This window comes from Homo sapiens, chromosome 21 (assembly GCF_000001405.40).
Source record: "Homo sapiens chromosome 21, GRCh38.p14 Primary Assembly".
Lineage (NCBI taxonomy): Eukaryota > Metazoa > Chordata > Mammalia > Primates > Hominidae > Homo > Homo sapiens.
In genome coordinates this window covers 43,884,903-43,902,929 of record NC_000021.9, presented here as the reverse complement: position 1 = coordinate 43,902,929, position 18,027 = coordinate 43,884,903, and the positions used below count along the sequence as shown (strand labels likewise).

Genomic DNA, 18,027 nt, shown 5'->3' with positions numbered 1-18,027 from the left:
CTTCTGGGCTTAAGTGATTCTCCCACCTCAGCCTCCCAAGTAGCTAGGACTACAGGTGCATGCCACCATGCCCAGATAATTTTTTAAATTTTTTGTAGACAAAGCATTTCACTATGTTGCCTAGGCTGGTCTTGAACTCCTGAGCTCAAGTGATCCGCCTGCCTCGCCCTCCCAAAGTGCTGGAACTAGAGGTATGAGTCACCATGCCTGGTCCAAATTCATACGTCGAAATCCTCCCTGCTAATGTGATATTTGGAGACAGGGCCATTGGCAGGGGATTAGGCCAAGAGGGAGGAGCCTCAAAAATGGGATTGGTGCCATTATGCCAAAAGACACGGGCCAGCTGCTTCCTATCTCTCTGCCATATGAGGGCACAACCAGGAAGAGGCCCTCACCAGCCACCAAACCTACAGGCACCTTGAGCTCGGACTTCCAGCCTCCAGAACTGTGAGAAATAAATTTCTGTTACTTAAGCCAGCCAGTCAGTGTTAACTTTTTTTATAGCAGCCCAAATTGACAAAGACAGTGTATATATCGCATATTTTCCCCTATTAATCTTACAGTTCTAACTTTCACATTTAGGTCTATGATCCATTTTGGTTAATTTTTAAATATAGCATAAAGTAGGGTGAAGGGCCATTGTTTTTGTAGATAGGTGTCCAATATTGTCTTTCGATATTTGAAAGGCATTCCTCCACTGTCTTCAAATTGTATAGTTTCTGATCAGAAACCGGCTCTCATTTTTGGCTTTGTTCATCTGTATGTGATAGCATTTGCCTCTGTCTACTTTCAGGATTCTCGGCAATTGGATGATGGTGTGTATTGGGGTGAATTCCTTCATGTTTCTTCGGTTTGAGATTTGTTGAGCTTCTTCGGGATGAGTTTCATCAGATCTGGAAAAATTCTAGCCATTATTGTCTTCAGGTATTTTCTACCACACACGCCTCTTTTCTGGAAATCAGTTTCATATGTTACTCTCGATATGGTCCCACTGATGCTCTGTTCATTTTTTTGTCTTTCTTTCTTTGTGTTTCATTTTACAAAGTGCTGTGTCTTCAAGTATACTGATCTTTTCTTCTGCAATGTCTAATCTACCACTAATCCCATTCAGCATATTTTTCATTTCTAGAAGATTTATTTGGGTCTTTTTTCTTTTTGAGACAGTCTCATGCTGTCACCCAGGCTGGAGTGCAATGGTATGATCATGGCTCACTGCAGCCTCAACCTTCCTGGGCTCAAGCCATCCTCCTACCTCAGCCTCCTAAGTAGCTGAGACCACAGGTGTGCACCACCACGCCCAGCTAATTTTTGTACTTTTCTGTACAGATGGGGTTGTCCAGGGTGGTCTTGATCTCCTGAGCTCAAACAATCCTCACATCTCAGCCTCCAGAAGTGCTGGGATTACAGGTATGAGCCATGACGCCCGGCCCTAGGTCTTTTTTTTATATCTTCCATTTTTTTCTTTATTTTTATCATATTTGCCCTGATTGAACACGTGGAACATATTTATCAATGCCATCTTAACATGCTTGCCTGCTAGCTCTATCATCTGGATAGATATAGTTCCCTTCCCTTCTCTTTTCTCTTCTCTTTTTTTTTTTTTTTTTTTAACAGAGTTTCACTCTGTTGCCTGGACTAGAGTACAGTGGCATAATCATAGCTCACTGCAGCCTCGAACTCCAGGCTCAAGGGATCCTCCTGCCTCTGCCGTTGAGTAGCTGGCACTACAGGTGCATACCACTATGCCCAGCTAATTATTTTCTTAAAACAAACAAAAGAACACATATCTTTTTAGAGACAGGGTCTCGCTATGTGGCCCCAGAGGGTCTTGAACTCCTGGGCTCAAGTGATCCTCCTGCCTCAGCCTCCCAAAGGGCTGGAATTGCAGGTGGGGGCTACAGTGTCTAGCCTGGATGTTTCCAACCATTGATTTTCCTCTTCTTCTGGGTTTTCTGTATGGCAGTCACTTTTGCTTGGCTGCTGGGCACTGTGAACTTGGTGCCTGTGAACTTGGCACTGGACGCTGGGTTTGCTGCTGTCCTGCATCTCCGGGCTTTGTTCTGGGAGCAGTCAACCTAGAACCAGTTTGATCTTTTCAGATCTCGCTCGTAAGCTCTGTTTGGTGAGTCCTGAGCGGACCTTTGTAGGACAACCTTGGGTGGTGAGTCTCTCCCTCTGGCCACTGAGCACACAGATTCACCCCACCCTGTGAACTCGGGGACTGTGCCACCCCTGCTCTCCCACGCCCCTTTCCCTCACCTGGGCAGCATTCACATGCCACCTGTGGTCAGCTCTCAGAGACTGGAAGGCCCCTCCTCAGCTCTCCAGAGCTGTTTCTTTATGGAACTCCCTCTTCTTCCATATTTTTCTTTGTACATTCCAGCCTTCCTGGAGCCCCTTAACTCCACACTCTGTCTCCACCAGGTCCTGGTTCCCCTCCCTGCCCTGTGGCTGGAGACTCTGCAGGTGACACGCTGGGCTACTGAGGCCTCACTTCCCTCATGCCCCTCTCTGGTCACTGTCCACACGGCCTGCCACCAGTGTCTGAAGCCTGTGGCTTCATGCACTTTTGTTTGGCTTTCTGGTTGATTAAGGTAGGCTGTGAAATTTGGTCTGTATCTTCCACCATGGCTAGAAGTGCAAGCTGGAATCTTGCATTTTTAAATCCAGGTTTTCACTCATCCAGAATGGGCTTCTCCAGTGGACCTCACAGGTGTTCCCTCTCCAAGACACACTGACCTATGTCTAAAGTGGAACCTCAGCTGCAGAGGGCCTGACTTGCAGAGCCAGCTTGACAGCCGTCTCTGGAAGAGAACAAAAGCATTTGCCTTTTTCTTTCTACCTCCAGATCATTTACTCTCCATGAAGACATCTCACTCAAAGTACATTTTCTATGTCAGAATGCAATAGCAGGACTATTTGCCTGCCCACGTTAAACTAGAAGGCAAGCCTGCACTTAATCAGCAAAAAGAAGGCGGTGCTCCAAAGGCAGACCATGTACTGACAGCACCTGAGACACTCCTCCTCTCAGTTCATCGCCTCTTCCCAATTTCTTCTTGACCTAGGCAGGTCAAGAGAGCATCACCGGGGCTGGGTCACGAATCTCTACCACTCCCAGTCATGGGTTCTCCCAAGCTCCTCTCAACACCCAACAGAACCGGGGCCGAGGCAGCTGCTGCACACACACACACGAGGTGATGCCTGGGAAGCCTCCTGGGGGACCAGTGATCCTCAGCGGTGGGGAGCAGATGGGAGGGGTGCTCTGCTCAGGGCAGGAAGGCAAGAGCCAGAACCACAGCGCTGCCGCTGCTCACCGCGGCCAGCCCAAGCAGCAGGGCTCCCTCCTCCCTGTCTGCCAGCCCTCCCCAACGCACTCGGTAAGGGCAAGGGCGTCCCGGGGATCCGGTCACGAATCGCTCAGACCTTCTAAGAGACCTTTAGAGGCTCTGGGTGCACATCCCCGGCCGGATCTGTGATTTACAAACATCTTCCCCCTTCCTGTGGTCGTCCTTTCTTGATGGTGTCCTTTGTAGCACAAAGGTTTTTAATTTTGATCTTAGAAGCAACCTGAGAAAAAAGGGAGACTACCTTCAAAGGAGAGATGGCCTGACAAGGATGTCTTCACACAAAAAGATGCTGACGCCAAGCAGAGGCTGACATCAAAGTGCTGAAAGAACGGCACTGCCAACCAAGAGTTCTGCAACCAGCAAGCATATCCCCCAAGGGGCAGGGAAAACTAGTGCTTCCGGACAAACACAAGGGGCGGGTTCGCCACCAGCACACTCTAACCAGAGGAATTTCTCATGTACGTGCACTTCAAGGAGAAAAAGAGATCCCAGATGGGAAGTCTGAGATGCAAAACGTAAAGGAAAGAGAGCGGCAAGTGTGTGCAAATCTAACACAAAATGTAATCAGGCCGGGCAGAGTGGCTCACGCCTATAATCCAAACACTTTGGGAGGCCAAGGCACAAGGATCACTTGAGTTCAGGAATTTGAGACCAGCGTGAACAACATGGTGAAACCCTGTACCTACAAAAAAAAAAACAGTAATAATCCAGCAATGTCTTGTGATATTCAAAAGTAAAAAAGAATTTAAATACACAGGCTGGGTGTGGTGGCTCACGCCTGTAATACCAGCACTTTGGGAGGCCAAGGTGGGCTGATCACCTGAGGTCAGGAGTTCAAGATCAGCCTGGCCAACATGGAGAAACCCCGTCTCTACTAAAAATACAAAAATTAGCTGGGCATGATGGTGGGTGCCTGTAATCCCAGCTACTCAGGAGGCTGAGGCAGGAGAATTGCTTGAACCTAGGAGGCGGAGGCTGCAGTGAGCCAAGATTGGCCCACTGCACTCCAGCCTGGGCGACAGAGCAAGACTCCGTCTTGGGGAAAAAAAAAGAATTTAAATACACAGTCTATTAGTTGTAAGGGGCATTAACGAAGGTAAGGATGCTTGCAGGTCCTTGGATATTCCCGAGTGTAAAACGTACAGGTTAATTGTAGATTCGTTTAATAAGAATGTTGTGCTTGTGGGGAAACCAGTAAAAGAACAGAGTCTGTAACATCCAAACTGGTGGAGGGCAGAAAATGAAAGGATCAATAGTTGACTCAAAAAGAGCAAGAAAGGAGAAGGAAAGGAAAACATCAGCACAGACCAAGAAATCAACAAAATATAAGATGGTATATTTCAACGCAAATATCTGCAGCTACATTTAAAGTAAACCAAATAAATGATCCAGTTAAATTTTTTTAGTTGTCAGACTTAAAAAACCAACTGTCGCTCTCCCTCTCCCCTCTCCCCTCTTCTTTCTTTTTTCGGTCTCCCTCTGTTACCGAGGCTGGACTGTACTGCCCTGATCTCAGCTCGCTGCAACCTCCCTGCCTGATTCTCCTGCCTCAGCCTGCTGAGTGCCTGGGATTGCAGGCGCGCGCCGCCATGCCTGACTGGTTTTTGTATTTTTGGTGGAGACGCCGTGTTGACCGGGCTGGTCTCCAGCTCCTGACCTCGAGTGATCTGCCCGCCTCGGCCTCCCGAGGTGCTGGGATTGCAGACGGAGTCTCGCTCACTCAATACTCAATGTTGCCCAGGCTGGAGTGCAGAGGCGTGATCTCGGCTCGCTACAACCTCCACCTCCTAGCCGCCTGCCTTGGCCTCCCAAAGTGCTAAGATTACAGCCTCTGCCCGGCTGCCACCCCGTCTAGGAAGTGAGGAGCGTCTCTGCCCAGCCGCCCCCTCTGGGATGGGAGGAGCCCCTCTGCCCGGCCGCCCCGTCTGGGATGTGAGGAGCGCCTCTGCCCGGCCGCCCCCTCTGGGAGGTGAGGAGCCCCTCTGCCCGGCCGCCCCGTCTGGGATGTGAGGAGCGCCTCTGCCCGGCCGCCCCCTCTGGGATGTGAGGAGCGCCTCTGCCCGGCCGCCCTGTCTGGGAACCCTTCTGCAGGTGTGCCTAACAGCTCCGAAGGGACAGCGACCATCGAGAACAGGCCATGATGATGACGGCGGTTTTGTCGAATAGAAAAGGGGGAAATGTGGGGAAAAGAAAGAGGGATCAGATTGTTACTGTGTCTGTGTAGAAAGAAGTAGACATAGGAGACTCCATTTTGTTCTGTACTAAGAAAAATTCTTCTGCCTTGGGATGCTGTTAATCTATAACCTTACCCCCAACCCCGTGCTCTCTGAAACATGTGCTGTGTCCACTCAGGGTTAAATGGATTAAGGGCGGTGCAAGATGTGCTTTGTTAAACAGACGCTTGAAGGCAGCATGCTCCTTAAGAGTCATCACCACTCCCTAATCTCAAGTACCCAGGGACACAAACACTGCGGAAGGCCGCAGGGTCCTCTGCCTAGGAAAACCAGAGACCTCTGTTCACATGTTTATCTGCTGACCTTCCCTCCACTATTATCCTATGACCCTGCCACATCCCCCTCTCCAAGAAACACCCAAGAATGATCAATAAATACTGAAAAAAAAAAAAAAAAAAAAAAAAACGGACTGTCAAACTTCAATTTAAAAAAGATCCTCCAATCATACACTGTCTACAAGAGATACATTTCAGATTTAAAGATACAGAAAAATTAAAAATAAAAAAATAAAAGAGACATGCAAAGCAAACAGTAAACAAAAGGCAGCTGGTGCCGCTATATTAATTCCAGACAAAGTCTGAAAGGCAGAAAGCATTAAAAAGGTAAGAAGATAATTTCACAGTAATAGTCGCTTCATTCATAAGGAAGATATAAAATTTTAAGTCTGTATCACCTAATAACATAGCTCTCAAGTATATAAAGCAAAACTCGATACAACTGCTAGACAAAATAGACAAATCCACAATGCAAAAACAGCTGTAGACAAGACATAAACAAATGGTGTGACTGCGGTCCAGCAAAACTTTATAAAAGCAGGTAGCTAGCCAGACTTAGCCTATAGGCTGTAGTTTGCTGACCCTTAGTATAGAAGATTTGAATAACATGATGAATAAACTTGATTCAATCAATCTACACACAATGCTGCCCCTACCACTGCAGAACAGAATCTGTTCAAAGACACACAGAACATTTTAAAATCTGACCGTGTGCTGGGCCATAAGGCAAGTCCTAAAAAGTTTCAGAAGACAGAGATCAAGCAGAGCAGATTCCTTCACCCCACAGACGCTTAAACGAGGGGAAAAAAAAGTAACAAAAAGTTATCTGCAAAAATCCTGGTATGCTCAGAAGTTAAAAACAGTTATCACGGCCAGGCGTGGTGGCTCACCCCTGTAATCCCAACATTTTGGGAAGCCAAGGCAGGTGGATCACTTGAGCTCAGGAGTTCAAGACCAGCCTGGCCAGCATGGTGAAACCCCATCTCTACTAAAAATACCAAAATTAGGCCGGGCGCAGTGGCTCATGCCTGTAATCTCGGCACTCTGGGAGACTAAGGTGGGTGGATCACCTGAGGTCAGGAGTTCGGGACCAGCCTGGCCAATATGGTGAAACCCTGTCTCTACTAAAAATACAAAAAATTAGCCAGGCATGGTAGCAGGCGCCTGTAATCCCAGCTACTTGGGAGGCTGAGGCAGAAGAACCACTCAAACCAGGGAGGTGGAGGTTGCAGTGAGCCGAGACTGTGCCATTGCACTCCGGCCTAGGCAACAGAGCGAGACTCTGTCTCAAAAAAACCCACGAAAAACAAAGAACAAAAAATTAGCCAGGTGTGGTGGCGGTTGCCTGTAATCCCATACTTGGGAGGCTGAGGCAGGAGAATCACTTGAACCCACGAGGTGGAGGTTGCAGCGAGCCAAGATCGCACCACTGCACTCCAGCCTGGGTGACAGAGACTCTCTCAAAAAAAAATTTTTTTTTAAAAAGTGATCAATTGTCAAAAAATTCAAAAGAGGAATTCAAAAATATGTTGAATGAAATAGTAAAAAAAAAAAAAAAAAAAAATCCTGTCACTACATATAGGCTGACGCAGCCTAAACAGTTCCTAAGGGGAGTGGCAACCTTAAGTGTGGACTGCATTAGAACATTGTAAAATGCTGATAACAGGCTGGGCACAGTAGCTCACACCTGTAATCCTAGCACTTTGGGAGGCCAAGGCGGGCGGACTGCCTGAGCTCAGGAGTTAGAGACCAGCCTGGGCAACATGGTGAAACACTGTCTCTAATAAAAAAATACAAAAAAATTAGCTGGGCATGGTGGCATGCACCTGTAGTCCCAGCTACATCAGAGGCTGAGGCAGGAGAATCGCTTGAACCCAAGAGGTGGAGGTTGCAGTGAGCCGAGATCGCACCACTGCACTCCAGACTGGGGGACAGAGCAAGACTCTGTCTCAAAAAAAAAAATAAATAAATAATAAAATAAAATGCCGAAAACAAATGACACAAGATATATCTCAAAAAATTAGGAAAACAAATTTAGAAGAAGTAACAAAACAATCTAAAACTCAGAAATTAATAAGATAGAAAACATACAAAAAGCCACAAAGTTGGTTCTCTGAAAGGATCAATAAAATCAAAAGAGTTTTATCAAGAGAGTTGATGATAAAAAGAGAGGAGGTGCGAATCAGGTCAGGAAAGAAAGGGGAACAGAGTCCAGTGCTTCAGGTCTTTTAAAATCAGAGGCCACTGATGCCTTTTCATAGGAATGAACTTGAAAATGTAAAGTTAAATGGACAAATTCCTAAGAACAATAACGGACAAAAATATCCTCAAGAATAAATCAGGGGCAGAGAGGAAGAGAGGTTGATTAGTGGGTATAGATAAACACTTGATAAAAGAAGTAAGACCTAGAAATAAGACCCGGTGTTTATAGATCAGTATGGTGACTACAGTTTACAATAATCTATCGTATATTTCAAAATAGATAGCAGAGAAGAATTTGAATGTTTTTAGCTTAAAGACGAGACAAATACTTATGGTGACAGATATGCCAATTTATACCAAATTGACCTTTACAAATTATGTGAATATATTAAATTATCACACTTATCCCCTCGAAATGGGTGAGTCATATAGTGGGTGAACTATATCTCCACAAAGCTGTTACCAAAAAAAAAAAATAGAAAACCCAAAGAATACCATAATCGTTACAAAACTGAAACAAAAGTCAAACATCCACCACCAAAAAAATGATCATGCTAAGTTCAGAACGATTTCACCAGTGATATCCTACACTCTTGGTGTAGGGATTCCAATCTTCCATAAACTCTTTTAGAGAAGTTAAAAAAAAAAAAAAAAGAAAGAAAGAAAGAAATACCTGGCCCCTGCCCAGTGCATTTTGAAGCTAATATAATCTTTTTGCCAAAACCTGACAAAAACAGGATGCAAAGGATAATTACGGAGCAGTCTCACTCACGAGCATGAACGCCAGAAGCCGGAAGGAAGCTTGTTCACTGTGCCTGGCTTCGCTGCACTTCCAGATACTGAGTTTTTGCAGCGTGAAGGTTCGTGGCAGCCCTGAATCCAGCAAGTCTATCGGCCACGTTTTTCCAACATCAAGTGCTCACTTCTGGCGTCTGTGTCACATTTTGGTAATTTTCGCAATCGTTCAAACTTTTTCATGATTGTTATACCTGTCACAGTGATCTGTGGTCAGTGATCTTTGATGTTCCTACCATAATTGTTTTCAGTGCTGTGAACCGGGCCCCCATCAGAGGAGGAACTGAGTGGAAAAAGGTCGTGCATGCTCTGAACTGCTCGGCCGAGCGGCTCTTCCCATCTCTCTCCCTCTGTTCCAGCCTCCCTATTCCCTGTTACACAGCAGTGTTGAAATGAGGCCACTTAATAACCCTCTGATGGCCTGTAAGTGTTCAAGTAAAAGGATGAGTTGCACAGCTCTCACTTTACATCAAAAGCTAGAAGTGACTAAGCCTGCTGAGGAAGGTGTGGTGAAAGCCGAGATAGGCCGAAAGCTGGGCCTCTTGGGCCAAACAGTTGGCCAAGTGATGAATGCAAAGAAAAAGTTCTTGGAGGAAATTAAAAGTGCTACTTAGGTAAACACACAAATGATAAGAAAATGAAACAGCGTTATTGCTGATATGGAGAAAGTTCGAGTGGTCCGGAGAGAAGATCAAACCAGCCTCAATATTCCCTTAAACCAAAGCCTAGTGCCTAGCAAGGCCCTTACTCTCTTCAATTCTGTGAAGGTTGAGACAGTTGAGGAAGCTGCAGAGAAAAAGTTGGAAGCTAGCAGAGGCTGCTGGCTCAGGAGATTTAAGAAAAGAAGCCACATCTTCTTCACATAAAAGTGCAGGTGAAGCAGTAGGTGCCCACGGAGAAGCTGCAGCAAGTCATCTGCAGATGGAGCTAAGATCACTGATGAAGGTGGCCACACTCAACAATAGATTTTCTTTTTCTTTTTGAGACAGGGTGTCACTCGGTTGCCTAGGCTGGAGTGCAGTGCCATGATCTCAGCTCACTGCAACCTCTGCCTCCTGGGCTCAAGCAATCCTCCCAAGTCAGCTTCCCAAGAGGCTGAGATGACAGGCACAAGTCACCATGCCTGGCTAATTTTGGTGGGGGTTGCAGAGACAGGATTTTGTCACGTTGCCCAGCTTGGTCTTGACTTGAACTTCTGAACTCAAGGAATACACTCACCTCAAGCCCCTCAAAGTGCTGAGATTACAGCTGTGAGCCACCATGACCACCCAACAGATTATTGATGTAGACGAAACAGCCTGATATTGGAAAAAGATGCCATCTAGGACTTTCACAACTAGAGAGAAGTCAATGTCTGGCTTCAAAGCTTCAAGGGACAGGCTGACTTTCTTGTTAGGGGCTAATGCAGCTGGTGACTTTAAGTTGAAGCCAATGCTCATATACTATTCCGAAAATCCTAGAGCCCTTAAGAATGATGCTAAATCTACTTTTGCCTGTGCTCTAGAGATGGAATAACAAAGCCTGGATGACAGCACACCTGCTTACAGCATGGTTTACTGAATATTTTAAGCTCACTGTTGAGACCTACTGCTCAGGAAAAAAGGATTCCTTTCAAAAAATTACTGTTCATTGCCAATGCACGTGGTCACCCAAAAGCTCTGGGGGAGATGCACAAGGAGATGAATGTTGCTTTCATACCTGGTAACACGACATCCACTCTGCAGCCCATGGATCAAGGAGTAATTTCTTTTTTTTTCTTTTTTTTTTTTGAGACAGAGTTTTGCTCTTGTTGCCCGGGCTGGAGTGCAGTGGCATGATCTCAGCTCGCTGCAACCTCCGCCTCCCAGATTCAAGCGATTCTCCTGTCTCGGCCTCCTGAGTAGCTGGATTTACAGGCGTGCACCACCACGCCTGGGTAATTTTTGTATTTTTAGTAGAGACGGGATTTCATCATGTTGGCCGTGCTGGTCTCAAACTCCTGACCTCAGGTGATCCACCCACCTCAGCCTCACAAAGTGCTGGGATTAGAGGTGTGAGCCACCATGCCCAGCCGTGGAGTAATTTATACTGCCAAGTCTTATTATTTAAGAAATACATTGTATAGGAATATAGCTGCCATGGATAGTGATTCCTCTGATGGATCTGGGCAAAGTAAATGGAAAACCTTCCGGAAAGGATTCACCATTCTAGATGCCATTAAGAAGACGCATGATTCATGGGAGGGGGTCAAAATATCAACATTAATAGTTTAGAAGAAGCTGATTCCAAGCTACGTGGATGACTTTGAGGAGTTCAAGACTTCAGCAGAAGAAGTCACTGCAGAAGTGGTGGAAATAGCAAGAGAACTAGAATTATTAGTGGGGTCTGAAGATGTGACTGAATTATTGCCACCTCATGATCAAACTTGAACAGGTGAGGAGTTGCTCCCTTTTTTTTTTTTTGTTTAGATGGAGTCTCGCTCTGTCACCCAGACTGGAGTGCAGTGGCACTATCTCGGCTCACTGCAAACTCCACCTCCCGGGTTCACGCCATTCTCCTTCCTCAGCCTCTTGAGTAGCTGGGATTACAGGCGCCTGCCACCACACCCAGCTAATTTTTTGTATTTTTAGTAGAGACAGGGTTTCACTGTGTTAGCCAGGATGGTCTCAATCTCCTAACCTCGTGATCTGCCCACCTCAGCCTCCCAAAGTGCTGGGATTATAGGCGTGAGCCACCGCACCCGGCCCGGAGTTGCTTCTTATGGATGAGCAAAGCAAATGGTTTCTTAAGGTAGAACCTACTCCTAGTGAAGATGCTGTGAACATTGTGGAAATAACAACAAAGATCCAGAGTGTTACATAAACTTGATTGATAAAACAGCTGCAGGGTTTGAGAGGAGTGACTCCAATTTGGAAAGAAGTTCTACTGTGGGTAAAATGCTATCAAATGACATCACGTGCTACAGAGAAAACTTGTGAAAAAGAGAGTCCATCCATGTGGCAAGCTTCATTGCTGTCCGTATTGGTCTGTTCTCACACTGCTATTAACAAATACCTGGCTGGCCAGACATTATGGCTCACACCTGTAATCCCAGTACTTTGGGAGGCCAAGGCAGGCAGCTCACCTGAGGTTAGGAGTTCGAGATTGGCCTGTCCAACATGGCAAAACCCCGTCTCTACTAAAAATACAAAAATTATCCAGGCGTGGTGGCGGGTGCCTGTAGTCCCAGCTACTCAGGAGGCTGAGGCAGGAGAATCACTTTAACCTGGGAGGTAGAGGTTGCAGTGAGGTGAGATTGTGCCACTGCACTCCAGCCTGGGCAACAGAGTAAGACTCTGTCTCAAAAAATTAATAAATAAATAAATAAATGAAAAAAAAAAAACCTGGCTGGGCACAGTGGCTCACACCTGTAATCCTAGCAATTTGGGAGGCCGAGGCGGGTGGATGGCTTGAGCCTAGGTGTTCAAGTTCAGCCTGGGCAGGGTGGTGAAAACCCATCTCTACAAAAAGTGCAAAAATGAGCCAGGCATGGTGGCTCACACCTGTGGTCCCAGCTACTTGGGAGGCTGAGGTGGGAGGATCGCTTGAGCCCACGAGGTCAAGACTACAGTGAACAGAGATCACACCACTGCACTCCAGCCTGGGCAATAGAGCAAGACCCTGTCTTAAAAAAAAAATTGAGACCGGGTAATTTATAAAGAAAAGAGGTTGAATTGGCTCACAATTCTCCACCCTGTTTCAGAAGCATGGTGGCATCTGCTCAGTTTCTGGGAACACCTCTGGAAGTCTACCATCATGACGGAGGCAAAGCGGGAAGCAGACGCGCGGTCTCACAGGGCCAGAGCAGCAGGAAGACAGAGGGGGAGGGGCCACACACTTTCAAACAGCCAGATCTCACGACAACTCTATCACAGTTACAGCACTAGGGGGACGGTGTTAAACTATGAGAACCCACCTCCAGGATCCGATCCCCTCCCACCAGGCCCCACTGCCAACACTGGGGATTACAATTCAACTGAGATTCAGACAGGGACACAGATCCAAAATGTCAGATTTTAGGGACACAGATCCAAAATGTCATATTTTAGGGACACAGATCCAAAATGTTAGATTTTAGGGACACGGATCCAAAATGTCAGATTTTAGGGACACAGATCCAAAATGTCATATTGTAGGAAATTGCAATGGCCACCCCATTTCAGCAACCACCTCCCTGAGTGCTCAGCAGCCATTCACGTCGAAGCAGACCCGTCTACTAGCAAAAAGACGAAGACTCACTGAAGGCTCAGATGATCATTAGCATTTTTTAGCAATCAAGTATTTTTTAATTAAGGCATGCACACTGTTTTTTTTAGACACAATGCTATTGCACACTTAACAGACTACAGTATAGCAGAAACATAACTTCTGATGAGATCAGGCACGTTCAGGGTGGCATGGCTGTACACAGCATAAACCTAACTTCTGTATGCACTGGGAAATCAAAAAATGTGTGTGCCTCACTTTATCGTGATATTTATTTTATTGCCGAAGTCCGGAACGGAACCCACAATATCACCAAGGTGTGCCTGTATTAGTTAACTAATCCAGTAATTTATGAAAAAGATCATGGCTAAATTGGGTTTATTCCAGGAATGCAGGGACTTTTTAACATGATATTAACAAATCAAAAGGGGAAAGCCACAAGTTCACTGTAACTGGCAACATCCAATCATGATTGTGATTAAAAACAAAAACCAGAACCTCCTGGCAAATGCGAAATGGAGGGGAATTTTCTCAACTTGATAAAAAACATTAAAAAAAAAAAAAAACCCACAACAACCACTTCACTTAGCAGTGTAACAAGGAAGGTTTCCCTTTGGTGAGGACCCTCTGTCGCCAACATGCCTTCATCACCTCAGTCCCATGCTTGTTGGAGATGCCAGCACAGGACGACAAGAAAAGTCAATAGAAATCTAAGGACTGAAAAGGAAAACAAATCTGTTGTTATTCACAGATGACATGACTGTGCACTTCAAAATCTAAAAGTTAAAGAAATAAATGTTTAAAAATCTGAAATAATGTACAGATAAGATTTTTAAAATCAATAAGAAACTTTGTTTTTTTTTTGAGACAAGTTCTCACTCTATTGCTCAGGCTGGAGTGCAATGACACAATCTAAGCTCACTGCAACCTCCGCCTTCCGGGTTCAAGCCATCCTCCCACCTCAGCCTCCTGAGTAGCTGGTATTACAGGCGCATGCCACCATGCCTGGCTAATTTTTATATTTTCAGTAGAGATGGGGTTTCACCATGTTGGCCAAGCTGGTTTCGAACTCCTGACCTCATGATCCGCTCGCCTTGGCCTCCCAAAGTGCTGGGATTACAGGCGTGAAGCACCTCGCCCGGCCCATGTTCTGTTTAATGTTTTCCTGGTACTTCATATTTTGGATGCTACTGTAACTGGTATTTAAATAATTCATTTTCTACCTGTTTGTTGCTGATATATAAGAATATTGATTGACCTTACCATTTATCTAGCTACCCTGCTAAGGTTTCTTTCTTTTTTTCTTCAACTTTTATTTTAAGTTCCGGGGTACATGTGCAGGATGTGCAGGTCTGTTCCACAGGTAAACGTGTGCCACGGTGGTTTGCTGCATAGACCATCCCATCACCTAGGCATTAAGCCCAGCATACATTAGCTTTCATATATATATATATCCTACACAAAAACAATTCCAGGTGGAGTAAAGCCTTACAAATGTTAAAAAGTAAAACCAAGCTGGGTGCAGTGATGCAAGCCTGTCATTCCAACATTTTGGAAGGCTGAGACAGGAGGATTGCTTGAGCCCAGGAATTCGAGACCAGCCTGGGCAATATACTGAGACCCCATCTCTACAAAAAAATTAAAAATTAGCTGGGTGTGGTGGTGTGCACCTGTAGTGCCAGCTACTTGGAGGCTGAGGTGGAAGGATCGTTTGAGCCTGGGAGGTTGAGGCTGCAGGGAGCTGCGACTGTGCCACTGCACTCCAATACAGGTGAAAGAGTGAGACTCTGTCTCAAAAATAAACAAACAAAAAACTAAAACACGATGTTTTCTCCAACTTTTTAAATGAAAAGTTTGTATAGAGAAGTTGAATTAATAGTACAACAAGAACGTGTATATGGGCCGGGCGTGGTGGCTCATGCCTGTCATCCCAGCACTGTGGGAGGCTGAGGCAGGAGTTCACTTGAGCTCAGGAGTTTGAGACCAGCCTGGCCAACATGGCGAAACCCAGTCTCTACTAAAAATACAAAAGTCAGTGGGTGTGATGGCGGGCGCCTATAGTCCCAGCTACTTGGGAGGCTGAGGCAGGAGAATCACTTGAGTCTGAGAGGTGGAGGTTGCGGTGAGCTAAGATCACGCCACTACACTCCAGCCTGCGTGACAGAGCGAAACTCTGTCTCTAAATAAATAAATAAATAAACTCTGTATACAACTACCTATATTAGAATTAACATTTGAGGAGAGCGCAGTTGTGTGTGTGTGTGTGCGTGTGCGCACGCTTTTATTCCTCAACCACCTGAGCATTACTTCCAGACATCATAGCACTTTATACCCAAATATTTCAGTGTGTCTCTGCTAAGAGTAAGGCCTTCTTCATCATCACAATAAAATTAGCACACTAAGAAAATTAACCCTTAGTCCCTGATATCATCTATTAGTCAACCTACATTTGCATTTCCCCAGCTGTCCCAGAAACACTGAGATAGTTGCTGTTTCAACCTGGACTCTAATCCAGGTTCCTAGGCTGCATTTGGTTGTTTCTTTGGGGTCTTTTCATCCAGAACAGAGGGTGGCGACTGCTTCTGGGCAGGAAGATGGTGAATATTTCAGGCTTGGGGCCATTGCAGCTCAACAGTGGCCACAGGCACCAAGAAGGCAATGGAGTGACAGCCAGTACTACTTCACCTGCAAAAACAGAGAAGGAGCTGGGCCTTGACCTGGTTAGCAGGGCTGCTTTGGAGTACCCACGTTTAGCCAGTTCCTGCACTATGAAATCTCCAGCAAACCACTGTTGGTGGGAATGTGAGTTAGTACAACCACTATTGAGAGCAGTTTGGAGGTTCCTCAGAAAACTAAAAATACAGCCACCATGTGACCCAGCTATCTAACTCTTAGGTATATACCCAAAAGAAAGGAAATCAGTATATCAGAGATACCTGCACTTCCATGTTCATTTAGCACTGTTCATAAGAACCAAGATTTGGAGGCAACCCACATGTCCATCAAGAGACGGATGGATAAAGAAAATGTGGTTCTTATACACAATGGAGTATTATTCAGCCATAAAAAAGAATGAGGTTCTGTCATTTGCAACAACATGGATGGAACTGGAGCTCATTATATTAAGTGCAATAAGCCAGGCACAGAAAGACAAGCATAACATGTTCCCACTTATTTGTGGGATGTAAAAATCAAAACAACTGAACTCATGAAGACAGAGAAGGCTGGGAAGGATATGGGGGTAGAGGGAGGTTAATGGGTATAAAAATTAGTTAGAAAGAATGAATAAGGCCTAGTATTTGGCCAGGTGTGATGGCTCATGCTTGTAATCCCAGTACTTTTGGAGGCTGAGTCGGGTGGATCACTTGAGGTCAGGAGTTCGAGACCAGCCTGGCCAACAGGGTGAAACCATCTTTACTAAAAATACAAAAAATAGCCAGGCATGATAGCATATGGCTGTAATCCCAGCTATTCGGGAGACTGAGGCATGAGAATCACTTGAACCCGGGAGGCAGAGGTTGCAGTGAGCCGAGACCACGCCACTGCACTCCAGCCTGGGCAACAGAGCAAGACTCCATCTTTAAAAAAAATTTTTTTAATAAAAAAAGATCTAGTATAAAGACCTAATATTTGATAGCACAGCAGGGGGACTGCCAGGAGGAGCAGAGGTGATATTGGTGACTCCCTCCCCTAACCATCAGCTCCAAGCCCTGCAAGTTTCCATGCCAGGCACCCCCATGCTCAGCCACCAGTCTCTGGCCGCAGGTGCTGCGTCCACCCAGCTGTGCCCTTTGCAGGCTTCGGCTTCCTATGGCATCACGATTGCCATGTCGCTGCCCCGGCTTTGCAAAAACCCCTGCCTGTATTTGGAGCCCCTGACCGGGCAACCTTCCCTCCTGTCAGCTGCTGCCAAGGAACCCCCTTGCCAGCACTGGCCCGCTCCTCAGTGCTCCTGAAAACACTGCTTACCCATCCCTGAGCCACGGTGCCCTCACCCACAGGAGCCCTGCGCACCTGCGCACCTGCACACCTTCACCTGTGGCTCCCCTCGCCTGTGCCACAAACCCCGGCCGTATACTCCAGGCTTCCACAGGGCTGGGCCTGGGGCCACAGAGTCATCAAACAACAGGCCCTTTTCTTCCTCCAAATCAGCTTATATAAGAAACTGGCACTGGGCACGGTGGCTTATGCCTGTAATCTCTGTACTTTGGGAGGCCAAGGCGGGTGGATCACTTGAGGTCAGGAGTTTGAGACCAGCCTGATTTTTAGTAGACCATCTCTACTAAAAATACAAAAATTAGCCAGGCATGGTGGCGTGTGCCTGTAATCACAGCTACCTGTGAGGCTGAGACAGGAGAATTGCTTGAACCCGGGAGGTGGAGGTTGCAGTGAGCTGAGATCATGCCATTGCACTCTAGCATGGGTGACAGAGCAAGACTCTGTCTCAAAAAAAAAAAAAAAGAAAAAAGAAAAACTGGCAATCATAAGTAGAAAAAAAATTGTAATTGAAAGTTATTTGTTCAAGAACTGGAGACCAACTAGGAACACACGAAGCAGAGAAGTGAGTCTCCGCGTCTGCATCAATGACGCAAAAGCAGCTGTGCAGGGAACCCGTCTGGCCCAGGCCCAGGCCTCCTGCACCCAGCGTCTGCGAGCTCCATGCTACCAGAGGGGCTGCAGTTGGCTGAGGGAGGTGGGGATGCCATTTGAGGTCTAGCCGCAGGGTGAGGGGAGCACGGCCGGCCAGTGTACACAGGTCAGGGGCCAGGTTCCCGGCCTTGCTCAGCACCGCACGTCACTGCATTGAAGCACATCTTTAGTAAAACCAGCTCTTCCCTTAAAGAGAATGCCACGGGGCATGAGTATGATGCTTTTGACAAAAAACAAAGGCATCACTGTTAACTCCGATCTATCCCATGTGAGGTGGGAGAAGGGAGAGAGCAGAGACAA

General features: G+C 46.3%; 1 protein-coding gene and 1 long non-coding RNA gene across 14 annotated transcripts in view, besides 5 other annotated features; both read right to left on the bottom strand.

Moving 5' to 3' along the window:
• Positions 1 to 18,027, bottom strand: part of AGPAT3 (1-acylglycerol-3-phosphate O-acyltransferase 3) — a 122,370-nt gene that overhangs the window by 84,663 nt on the left and 19,680 nt on the right. The gene's annotated exons all lie outside the window — the stretch shown is intronic.
• Positions 8,780 to 8,829: an enhancer, noted in NCBI's record as "active region_18555". NCBI's record gives its function as "activates an Ori minimal core promoter by ATAC-STARR-seq in GM12878 lymphoblastoid cells {active_cell/tissue: GM12878}" and the evidence as "EXISTENCE:reporter gene assay evidence [ECO:0000049][PMID:35858748]".
• Positions 9,450 to 9,499: an enhancer, noted in NCBI's record as "active region_18554". NCBI's record gives its function as "activates an Ori minimal core promoter by ATAC-STARR-seq in GM12878 lymphoblastoid cells {active_cell/tissue: GM12878}" and the evidence as "EXISTENCE:reporter gene assay evidence [ECO:0000049][PMID:35858748]".
• Positions 9,550 to 9,669: an enhancer, noted in NCBI's record as "active region_18553". NCBI's record gives its function as "activates an Ori minimal core promoter by ATAC-STARR-seq in GM12878 lymphoblastoid cells {active_cell/tissue: GM12878}" and the evidence as "EXISTENCE:reporter gene assay evidence [ECO:0000049][PMID:35858748]".
• Positions 13,135 to 15,046, bottom strand: LOC124905034 (uncharacterized). The gene is made up of 2 exons (XR_007067898.1): positions 14,341 to 15,046; positions 13,135 to 13,794 (listed from the first exon to the last, which is right to left on the bottom strand). It is a non-coding gene; the product is annotated as an uncharacterized LOC124905034 (long non-coding RNA).
• Positions 16,601 to 17,186: an enhancer, noted in NCBI's record as "H3K4me1 hESC enhancer chr21:45305625-45306210 (GRCh37/hg19 assembly coordinates)". NCBI's record gives its function as "activates a minimal SCP1, AML or CMV promoter by ChIP-STARR-seq in naive H9 embryonic stem cells {active_cell/tissue: H9 hESC(naive)}" and the evidence as "EXISTENCE:reporter gene assay evidence [ECO:0000049][PMID:30033119]".
• Positions 16,805 to 16,960: a silencer, noted in NCBI's record as "fragment chr21:45305851-45306006 (GRCh37/hg19 assembly coordinates)". NCBI's record gives its function as "represses an EF-1alpha promoter that drives an FKBP-Casp9 reporter gene in an ReSE screen in phorbol 12-myristate 13-acetate-treated (for megakaryocytic differentiation) K562 erythroleukemia cells {active_cell/tissue: K562(+PMA)}" and the evidence as "EXISTENCE:reporter gene assay evidence [ECO:0000049][PMID:32094911]".